The 11822-nt window shown below is 42.8% G+C and overlaps 1 annotated feature.

Annotated features, from left to right (window-relative positions):
* Positions 352-1129: an enhancer, noted in NCBI's record as "OCT4-NANOG hESC enhancer chr2:205147042-205147819 (GRCh37/hg19 assembly coordinates)". NCBI's record gives its function as "activates a minimal SCP1, AML or CMV promoter by ChIP-STARR-seq in naive H9 embryonic stem cells {active_cell/tissue: H9 hESC(naive)}" and the evidence as "EXISTENCE:reporter gene assay evidence [ECO:0000049][PMID:30033119]".

Here is an 11822-nt window from a genome sequence, read left to right on the forward strand (position 1 = left end):
CTTTGGCTGCAGTTGCCAGAACCTGGAGAGAGTAGCTTTAGAGAGAAGGCTGTCCACCAGGAGCCAGGCCTTCAATCTAGGAATACAGCGTCTCCAAACTGTGGCTCTGGATCGGCAGGATGAACTCTTATTCTGGAATTTATTTCCAGAAATCTGGAGAGGTAAAGGGTGAAAAGAGATGATAATGATGAAACTGGTCATGACATAGAGAATAAATAACAATTCTCCATCTCTTCTTACTCTCTCATCTCCTGACAGTGACCTCCACTGGCCAAACCCAACCCAACACCCAGCGGGAAAGGGAGCCCACTATCCAGACTCACCCTCATGGGGCCTAGAGCAGGTGGGGAAATAGGTCTAGGTGCAGACGGAGAATATCAGAAGAGTCTCCACTCTGTTGACTGTTTTGTTAGTTTGTTTGATTTTTGGATCTGCTCAGAGATCCAAAGGGTTACGTTGAAAGTAAACACAACCCAGGACAGGAGGACAATTTTTACTCCTCCAAATAAGTGTATAGGTTTAGCATACGCTCCATCAAAAGCCCCCCAGAACTGAGTCAGGGAGAGAGAGGTGCACTCTATAAACTTAGCCTTTGGTCTTCAGAAGTATTTCATTCTAACACAAGTTTGCCTACAAAGCTGCTTTTACATTTTAAAAAGTCCCCAGTGTATGGCCACTAGCTCCAGATGTGTTAATAGCGCCAAAGCAGCTCACAACAGGCTCCTTGAGTTACTGAATAACAGAACTCAACAGGCAGCTAAGCCTTCCGACCACACACTTTCACCTTTACATGCTCTGAGTCAGCTTTCAATAGGCATTAAATTCTCCCTTTGTTTTCATTCCTTGCTGCCGTAGCTCTAGCAGGGACCTGTGAATAGCCGGGCTATGCTAAGTACCCTTAAATATAGGTCTTTGAGAAATCTCTGTGTATATGTGAGTTCCATACATAAGTAATGTCCAAGGAGGAGGTCAAAACACTGAAATATTGAAATAAAAATCAGGAGGCTTTAGTCCTACTCCTGGTCTATAAATCTTTTTTTTTTTATACTTTAAGTTTTAGGGTACATGTGTGCAACGTGCAGTTTAGTTACATATGTATACGTGTGCCATGTTGGTGTGCTACACCCATTAACTCGTCATTTAACATTAGGTATACCTCCTAATGCTATCCCTCCCCCCTCCCCCACCCGACAACAGGCCACGGTGTGTGACGTTCCCCTTCCTGTGTCCATGTGTTTTCATTGTTCAATTCCCACCTATGAGTGAGAACATGGTCTATAATTCTTGACTAGCCCTGCAGGGTAACCTTGGACAGACATCTTTACCTTCCTAAGACTCATGTTCTGCTGCTCTAAAATAGAAAACAGAGTCCTGTTATCACAGAAGAGATGTGGGCTGGAAGAGACCCACCTCCTTAACCTGGGCTTTGCTGAAAGCCAGCAGTCCTTTGAGGCTGAGGAAAGGTGAGTTTTATTGTACTGTTTGCTCCCAGGCAGCTGCTTCCAGAGGATTCATGGGTTTACAATTTAAGAGACAACCAAGCATGAGGATAGAACTTCCATTAAATGGCGCCCATGTTTCTGGTACCACGACAAGCCATTAAACCATACTCTCTGGCTAGGTTTATTAATGTCCACATCTAAAATTTTGTACATTGCTCCATATCCTACTGCAGTTTAGAGTCATCTCCTGAGTATTTCACGGTGAGTTATTTACTTAGTGTGACAGGAAAGGGATTAAAAATGCTCCATGTTACAAAAATCATATCCTCGTCTTCTGCATGTCCACACGACACACGAGAAGGAGGAAGAGTGTGAGCTCCAGGACAGTATCCAAAAACAAGTTAAATTGAACTCTCCTTAGCTCTTCTTCAAAGCTTCAGGCTGCTGAAACCCATTTTCTATCCTTCTCAATATTTGTCCTGCTGATGCGTTAATAGAAGCTTGTTTTTCACAATATGTTCACACCACCAAAAGCATTCAGGGAATTCCTAGATCACCTTAAATTTTTCCTAATTCAACATCTTCTGGAAGGAAAACACGAAAGCACCCAGATGCCTTTGCTTTAGAACAATTCCTGTGACTTATTTCGCATTGATAGTTTTTGTTTTAACTGGAATTAAGGATTCTAAGGGCAGATCTGAGAAGCTACTTCACTAACAGTGAAAGGAAAGAGAATGAGGAAAGTTGATTTATCCATGCTGAATGAATACCGACTTACCTGCCCCAAACAGAGAAACAACTAACTAAACAGCTATTCAGTAAGCCTGCTACAACTACCCCAGACCCACCCCAGGCAAACAGGGACTTCAGAACACTTATCTCCCGAAGGAAGCTCTTGCAATTCAGATCACAGGCTTTATTTTTTAATTCACCCATGTTTGCTTCAAAAGAGCTCCTCTGCTGACTATGGAAGAACAAAACGAAAAAGCCAAAGAGAGAAACACTTAAGGATTTGAGGTTGGGGAAATGTTAGAAGGTGAGAAGTCGGGCAGTAAAAGGAAAAGAAATATCCACTCACTAAATCTAGGACAGCCTTGTACAGAAATCTGCCCCAAATTCATGTTTCTCCACCTCAGGAACAAGAGGAGCTCCCTTGTTTGTAGTTAGAATTTTAAGGACTAGTGTCTTTGAGCCAGGTAAACAGTGAGTCTGATTCTCAACAATTATGAAAGGGCCAGGTTTTTTTCGTTTGTTTGTTTGTTTGTTTTCATTTTTGTTTTTTTTGAGACAGAGTCTTGCTCTGTCGCCCAGGCTGGAGTGCAATGGCACCATCTCAGCTCACTATAATCTCTGTCTCCTGGGTTCAAATGATTCTCCTGCTTCAGCCTCCCAAATAGCTGGGATTACAGATGTGTGCCACCACACCCAGATAATTTTTGTATTTTTAGTAGAGATGAGGTTTCACCATGTTGGCCAGGCTGCTCTTGAACTCCCTACCTCAGGTGATCCACCCACCTCGGCCTCACGAAGTGCTGGGATTAAAGGTGTGAGCCACCGCACCTGGCTATGGGCCAGGTTTTTAAAACTGCAGTCACATGTTTATCTAATCTTCATAATTTCTATTATATGTGTGCAGAGGTGACCTTGAGAATGTGCCTGTCAGACTTCTGATTTCAGGGATTTTACTGACACAGGGGTCCAGCTCTGCCTAGGGAAATCCATAGTCCCATTTGCAATGAGCCCTTCTTCCCCCCAGCTGCTCCCAGCCAATGGCTGCATGCAGCAGGGACACCGCAGGGGGACCTGTCCCCAGGCGCTGTCCCTCCAGTGGGCACCAATACCAGTGTTATGGGAGTTGATTTCGGGCACTGTGCTGAATATGTTCAGTCTTGCTACTTGTGCATTTTTTAATATGTGTGATTTCAAAGATGATGTTGTTTAGGAAGAGGCTAAATATGGGTTTCTCAAAAACCTCAGGCAAAGGCTTTGGCAGGAAGTTCACTTGGAAAGGTGTTGCAGGAAGCAGAAGTGGGGGCCTGGGAATGTGAAACAGGAAGGGAGGGAAACCGATAGGTGGATGCATGATTGAGTTGACAACACTGCTGCATTTGGGCTTGAGGGTTCTCAAAGGCAGTCTTGCCAGACTCTTCCCTAGTCCTGCACTAGACTCTGAGACTTGGGCATGAGGAATAATCTTCCTTCCTTCCCTCTCTCCTTCACTCAGGATCAGACCTGCTGCATAGCCTGATGGCTCTCTCAGTCTCTCCTGGCTCCCTCCCTATTATCTCTCATAGCAACCTTGTCCAACCCATGGCCCGTGGGCCACATGCAGCCCAGGATGGCTTTGAATGTGGCCCAACACAAATTTGTAAACTTCCTTAAAACATGAGGGTTTTTTTTGTTGTTTGTTTTCTTATCAGCTATCATCAGTGTTAGTGTATTTTATGTATGGCCTAAGACAATTCTTCTTCCAATGTGGCCCAGGGAAGCCAAAAGGTTCGACACCCCTGTCTTATACACATGACTCCTAACATGTTTCTTGTACATTTAATCCCATCTTTTCCTCTGCTACTTGGACAACCCAGATTAACATACGTAGTAATATCAACTGCATTATGTATATAATTATACAAGATTATATATTTATATGTAATTTTATACAATTATGTATATAACACATACACTTAAAGTAAACTTACAGTGGCATATTGGACACCTCCAGTTCATTATTTAGCTAATCTAGGGCCTACCTCTTACTCCAGCTACTGCTGCGGTAGCCAGTTACATGTAGGTCTCAGCCAGCCAGCTTTGCATAGTTACTTGGTTAGCACCTCAGACCACCTGCCAGGACTGCTGGCCACTCATGCTCGTGCAATCCAGAAGAGTGGGTCCACCTTTGATTAGTGGAGGCTGGGAGTTGCTGGATAAATCCTCTCCCCTTCCATCCCCTGAGACAGCCCTGAGACCCATGTCATAAGATGCCTCAGAAGGTCCTGTGGATCAAACGCTGCTTGACTGTAGCAATGGTCAACTCAATCATGCCTCCATGTATTTCTTTCCCTTGATCCCCACTTTAATCTCCCAGATCCTCACTTCTGCTTCCTGGGATACCTTTCCAAGTGAACTCTCTTTGCTGTGACTTTCAGGGAAACCCATACTCAGCATCTTCTTAAACGATATCATTTGTAAAGTCACATTTAAAAATAAATACACCTGCATTAAAACAAAAAATAGTGGCAGGGTGTGGTGGCTCACTCCTGTAATCCCAGCACTTTGGGAGGCCGAGGTGGGCAGATCAAGACCATCCGACCAACATGGTGAAACCCTGTCTCTACTAAAAATACAAAAATTAGGTGGGCGTGGTGGCACACACCTGTAGTCCCAGCTACTCGGGAGGCTGAGGCAGGAGAATTGCTTGAACCCGGGAGGCAGTGGCAGTGAGCCAAAATCATGCCACTGCACTCCAGCCTGGTGACAGAGTGAGACTTGGTCTCAAAAAAAAAAAAAATAGTTATCATAAGACCTAAAATCAACTCACATATCATCTGGCGTTTATACCTCATTTTAGGCAATACTATAACAAAAGATGTTGAAGTAATTTTGTTCTGACACTACTGTCTTTTTCAGTGGCCACATTTAAAATAAAATCAGTTATACCATTGAGTTAAAGTGTCCAGGGAGACCAGGAATAACTAATGGAACCCAGGGCTCCTGGGTTTATTTTGCTTTTGTGTGTTTTGTATACGTGCAGTGACAAGGGGCTTCTCTGAAAGCATTTTGTTCTGTTTGGCTTTGTATAAGCTGGGCACATTGTGGTTTAGCCTTTTACAATAATTTGGTTACCGCTTTTGGTTTTTGGTGTAAGGAAGGGATCCAGTTTCAGCTTTCTACATATGGCTAGCCAGTTTTCCCAGCACCATTTATTAAATAGGGAATCCTTTCCCCATTTCTTGTTTTTGTCAGGTTTGTCAAAGGTCAGATAGTTGTAGATATGTGGCATTATTTCTGAGGGCTCTGTTCTGTTCCATTGGTCTATATGTCTGTTTTGGTACCAGTAGTACCATGCTGTTTTGGTTACTGCAGCCTTGTAGTATAATTTGAAGTCAGGTAGCGTGATGCCTCCAGCTTTGTTCTTTTGGCTTAGGATTGACTTGGCAATGCGGGCTCTTTTTTGGTTCCATATGAACTTTAAAGTCATTTTTTCCAATTCTATGAAGAAAGTCATTGGTAGCTTGATGGGGATGGCATTGAAACTATAAATTACCTTGGGCAGTATGGCCATTTTCACGATATTGATTCTTCCTACCCATGAGCATGGAATGTTCTTCCATTTGTTTGTATCCTCTTTTATTTCATTGAGCAGTGGTTTGTAGTTCTCCTTGAAGAGGTCTTTCACATCCCTTGTAAGTTGGATTCCTAGGTATTTTATTCTCTTTGAAGTAATTGTGAATGGGAGTTCACTCATGATTTGGCTCTCTGTCTGTCTGTTATTGGTGTATAAGAATGCTTGTCATTTTTGCACATTGATTTTGTATCCTGAGACTTCGCTGAAGTTGCTTATCAGCTTAAGGAGATTTTGGGCTGAGACGATGGGGTTTTCTAGATATACAATCATGTCATCTGCAAACAGGGACAATTTGACTTCCTCTTTTCCTAATTGAATACCCTTTATTTCCTTCTCCTGCCTGATTGCCCTGGCCAGAACTTCCAACACTATGTTGAAGGATTTTCTCAGGTAGCTGAAACTGTGGCCCATGACCTCAGTGTGGTAGATGAAAATCTAAAGATGTCCCCCAAGTTTCCCACGACTGGGTTACATAATCAAACACTAATTTAGGAACTGTGAGGGGACTTTGCAGATGGAAGTAGGTTACTAATCAGCTGACCTCAAGATAGGGCAATTATCCTGGAGCTACCAGGATGGGCCTGGTATAATCATGTTCACCCTTAAGCAGAAGAAGAAGGCTGAGGGAAGCAGTCCTATTTTAATGTCCAAGACCATCACTTCTGCTTCCTGGGATACCTTTCCAAGTGAACTCCCTTTGCTGTGACTTTCAGGGAAATCCATCCTTAGCTTTTTAAACTATACCATTTGTAGCGTCACACATAAAAATAAATACATAAGCATTACAACAAAAAATAGTTATCACAGGACCTAAGAAGAAGACTGAGGGAAGTAGCAGAAAGGAACATAAGAGAAATTCCGAGTGCAAAGACTCAACTCCATTGCTGCCTTTGGGGATGAAGAAAGGGGCCATGAGACAGGGAATGCAGGCAGCTTCTAGAACAACCTCCTGGCCAACAGCCAGCAAGGACAGAGGGACCAAAGTCTTATAGTCGTATGTATCTTAATTCTGCCAACAACTTGAATGGACTTGGAAGTGAATTTTCCCCCAAAGCCTCCAGATAAGAGCCCAGGTTAACCAAGACATTGATTTTGGTCCTGTGAGACCAAGGGCAGAGAAACCAGAGAAGCTGTCCTGTGGAAACTACGAGATCATATATTGGTGTTTTTTAAGTGACCAAATTTGTGATATTTTTTATGACAATTATGAAAAACAAACACACTCAGTATGGGATTTCAAAGCATAGCAGCAGATTGGTGAAATAAGCATCCTTCCTAGAGGACTCAGGTCTGTGTGTGATATAGAGATTTCACACCTAGCAGAGAACCCGCAAAAAAGCTTTGCACACCTAACTGAGATGAATTTGCTGCAAGAAATTATCCATCTTTACAAAAGAATTCTTCCAATTCCTCTTGTGAAACATAGCAGACAAACAAAAATAAAACCACTGGCTTTCACTTTTGATAATGCACTTTTCAAATATTTACAGAATGCACTTTAGTTTCAGATAAATGTTGCATCATGTCTGAGTTGCTGACAACTCTTGCTCTGTCCACTGTCCCAGAAATTACCTTCCTCAAAGTGTGGTGACTTGAGGGCATGAAAGGAAGTATTTCAGATTCAAAGTTAAATGAACCCTATGATCCAGGGACATTGTCAGAAAGTTCCATTCTCAATGAGAAAAACCCTTAAGAATGCACACCTCTGCAGATAGCTGCCTACAAGAAAACTGCCCAGAAGCAACTTTTCCTACCATGGGGTTCAAGCCTAACTTGCTTGTGAGAACACAGCTTCTCCACACATATCATCGGGAAGCTGCCAACTTAACAGAAAACCATTGTAATCTAAAAATTGAAATAATACTGATGAAAGTCAGGGGAAGACAGAGTTCATGAGGAGTTGACATGGAGCAAAGACAGCACATCCTTGTTTCAATTGGCAGGAGAAGGACTTTGCTCTCAGGTCGGTGTCTGGTGAGACACAATTGATGGAAATACATTATTTTAATTCATATTCATGGGCTTATATGTCTGTCTCCCCAACCAAAATACAAAGCCCTCAAGGGCAGGGACATTATCTCATTTATCTTTCTATTTTCATTGCCGAGACATAGACCTTATATATAATAGGTGCTTAAAAAATGCTTACTTAAGGAATGAATTGGCAAGTGGAAACTCTCCCAAACAAGAATGTTTTGTCCAGCTACTGCTCCTCCTCATTTTATCACTTATTTCAAGAGCATTTTAGGTGCTGTCTAATAAGTGCCAGACACTGTGTTAGGCATCCAGGAGACACTGGAAGAACATATTCCCTGCACTCATGAAACTCACAATCTACTCGTGAAGATAACCAAATAATCACAAAAATAAACTTAAGGTGACAATTTGGGCATATCCTGTAAAGGGAAGGTGGCGTGAGATGGTATGATAGCTGTGTCTGGTGTAGTCTTGGTGGGGTCTGGGAAGACATGCCTGAAGCAGTCATGTTTGAGCTGAGAGTTGAAGGATGGGAAAGAATTAGTGAGACACCAGAGAATAATCACAGTCCAGAAAGAAAGAACTGCATGTGTGGTATCCTATGGCTGAAAGAAGCAGGGAAAGAACAAGGTGTGGAAAGGAGGCCTGTGTGGCTGGAATTTAGAGAGGGAAGGAAATGGTGATGCCAGAAGTGCCCAGAGAAGAGGCTGTGGCCAGGTCACATGGGATCTTCTAAGCCAGTGTAAAGATTAGGGTCTTATGTTTTACAACCTGAAAAATTGTGACTGGGGAGAATAAGAGACGTGATTAGTTTTGGGCTCATCTAGTAAATAGATAGAGAATGTATTGCTGGGAACCAGAGTGGGTGTGGGGAGGTTACAGTATTATTCTGAGCTAGGTAGCTTAGACCAGAGAGTAGCTGTGAAGATGGAGGAAAGTAAATGTCTTCGTGCATAGGAGGTAATATATTGGATATTGGGGAAATAAGATTAAGACTTAACTGGATGTATGATGGCCTTATGCAACCTAAACAGTCAACTTTGAAAGAGGACAAGGTGGCTGGGTGCAGTGGCTCTCACCTGTAATCCCAGCACTTTGGAAGGCTGAGGCAGGTGGATCACCTGAGGTCAGGAGTTGGAGACCAGCCTGGCCAACTTGATGAAACCCCGTCTCTACTAAAAATACAAAAATTAGCCACGCATGGTGGTGGGTGCCCGTAATCCCAGCTACACAGGAGGCTGAGGCAGGAGAATCGCTTGCATCCGGGAGGCGGAGGTTGCAGTGAGCCAAGATTGTGCCACTGCATTTCATCCTGGGCAACGGAGCAAGACTCCATCACAAAAAACAAACAAACAAGCAAGCAAACAAACAAACAAACAGAAAACAAGGTTTGAGGGAGGTGAGAAGGGAAGATCATGAGTTCATATATAAAACTGTTAGATTTGAGTTGCCTTTGAAACATCCTAGTGATAAACATCAGCAGCTTGTTTCCTAAGTCTGAAGCCCAAAGATAGGACATAGCCTGGAAATGTATATTTGTAAATTATCTGCTAAGCTGGTAATTGAAGGCTTGTGCCTGAATAGGGTAATCTAGGAAGAAAATACGGAGTGAGAAGAGAATTTAGGAACTAGCCTCTAAACCCAGCTCTTACTGGCCAGGTAGAGCATGATGAACATCCAAAAGAAATGGAGTGAAGCAATCAGACATTTAAAAAGAAAATATGCAGTGATCAGAAGCTATTTATGACTGATACGAATGGTGAGTGCAGAAATATTGGTTGAATGAATGCATGAAGAAATCTCTGAACTTTTTTTTTTTAGCCTCCTTAGGTAAGATGCCTGTTAGCTAGTTAACTAACCTCAAATCCATTCTCAACCTCCTCCCTTGGCTGCCTCTACTACAGTGGATAGTATAGAGGAGAAAACAAAATTTCTTTCCTTTTCCTTTTTAGGTTCTTAATTGATACACTTTCCTGAAAACAAGTTAGACTAATAAAAGAAAAACAAGTGGAAGTTTGTGTGTGTGTGTTTGTTTGCTTGTTTTTGAGAGAGTCTCAGTCCATCATCTAGGCTGGAGTGCAGTGGTGTGATCATGGCTCATTGTGGTCTTGACCTCCTGGACTCAAGAGAACCTCCCACCTCAGCCTCCCAAGCAGCTGGGACCACAGGCATGTGCCACCATACCTGGCTAATTTTTAAATTTTTTGTAGAGCCAGGCTCTCCCTATGTTGCCTAGGCTAGTCTTGAACTCCTGGGGTTAAGCAATCCTTCCTTCTTGGCTTCCCAAAGTGCTGGGATTACAGGTGTGAGCCACTGAGCCCGGCCCAAGCAGAAATTTATTAACGCATGATGTACCCATCACAAGGGAGAGGACTCAGTTCAAAAGTGTTTCTCAAGGTAGTGGCTTAGAGGTCTTGCTTGTATTTTAATAGAGAACCATAAATCTTACATAGGGACAAGACAAATGGGACAGCTTCCAGTCTTTTAAAAGGCAAGAAAATGGGAAAGATGGTAAGATCTGCTCCCAGATTACTCTGGTGCCAGCTGGTGCCTTCTCTGGGCTGATAAGCAAGTGCTGTCTCTAGTAAAGAAGGATTTATATCCCGCCATTAGGCAAATACAGCCTGAGGCAGAGTGCTCACTGGAGTTTTCAGTGTCTTTAACAATCCTCAATGTTTTGGGGAGAAATATTTTGGTTTCTGTCAATAGTAAAATCAGTCCCACTTGCTTGTAGTGGCCCACATGGTCCAGTAGGTTCAGTGAGAGGTAAGCACAAGTCTGCTGGGAGACTTTGAGACTTTGAAGGCATTTGCTTCTGGGTAAGGAGGGGCGTGGCAGGTGCTCGCTCTGCCCATCTTCCGTCCTTTACATGTAGACATGTTGGTTAAAGGCACAGCAGCCATCTTGTGATTATCAAGCACTAAACATGAGGACAAAATGGACGTTTGCTGAAGATGAACAGAGTCTGTTTAGATGATGTTGGGGAGTAATTGCCTTGGTCATCCACCACCACCAGACTTGTGGTTACATGAGAAAAACAGACCCTTATTTGGTTAAGCCACTCTTCATTAGGTTTTCTGTTACTTGTACCAAACATATTTCTAACAATTCAGACCCCTTTCAAAAAAAGGTTAACTGATATCCAACAAGAATCTTTGATACTCTTGTTAGTAAAATTTAACATTTACTTTAGCATTTGTTTTATTGTAGAAATAAATGTCATGGGCATTTGAGCTAGATGGGCCAGTTTCCCCCTTGGTCTGATTACCAAGGAAATGAATGATTGGCTGAGCATGTCTTGCTATGGGACTCCAGTGCCTGGATCCCTCCCACCAAGGTGTCACACCATGTGATGATGTGTGGGCCTCTACCCACCCACATTACTATTTTCTTCTCACAGACACCCCTACTTACAAATATACTGAGTTCATTTACAAAGGAGGAAAATGGCTGCTTCAAAACAGAGCAATGAATTACCTGTCACATCCCTGAGATCTTTTGCTTACCCATATTGAGATTACTTGATTTATCTTCTCAGCCCAACGTTTCGAATTCGTGACGATGTTTTTACTTCTTGCTCCTGTGATATGACACCTTTAGGATTCTGCTAGCTACCTCATGGTATACACAGTGGGCATGGAGTTTTAAAACAGTGCTTCCTAGCTATCACCAATGGAACAAAAGTGCTTCCCGTTTGTGGTAGAAATCACCCCATGTCGTCATTTGTCAGCTAGTTGCAAAGGAGCTAAAAAATTCTGAAATCCTGTTGTAAAAGACAATCCTCTCCAGACTTGTCCAGCACTTCCACTTTGCAGCCAAACTGCAAATGCCATCCCAAAGGTATTAGGTGGCTCTTTTTCTATGTTCATGACAAGAAACAAGAAAATGAAAAGTTGCACGAAGCTGGGAAAATTGCAGAAACCTGGCAGGGGATGACTTTCACCTGAGCAATTTGTCAGTTCCAAAGGGACATGTAAAGCAAGTTTTAAGAATAAGAGGCATCCGGTTCTCATTCTGACTGGTTTGCCTGGCCATAATTATTGCAATGTGGGCTAACA

This window comes from Homo sapiens, chromosome 2 (genome assembly GCF_000001405.40).
Source record: "Homo sapiens chromosome 2, GRCh38.p14 Primary Assembly".
Classification (NCBI taxonomy): domain Eukaryota; kingdom Metazoa; phylum Chordata; class Mammalia; order Primates; family Hominidae; genus Homo; species Homo sapiens.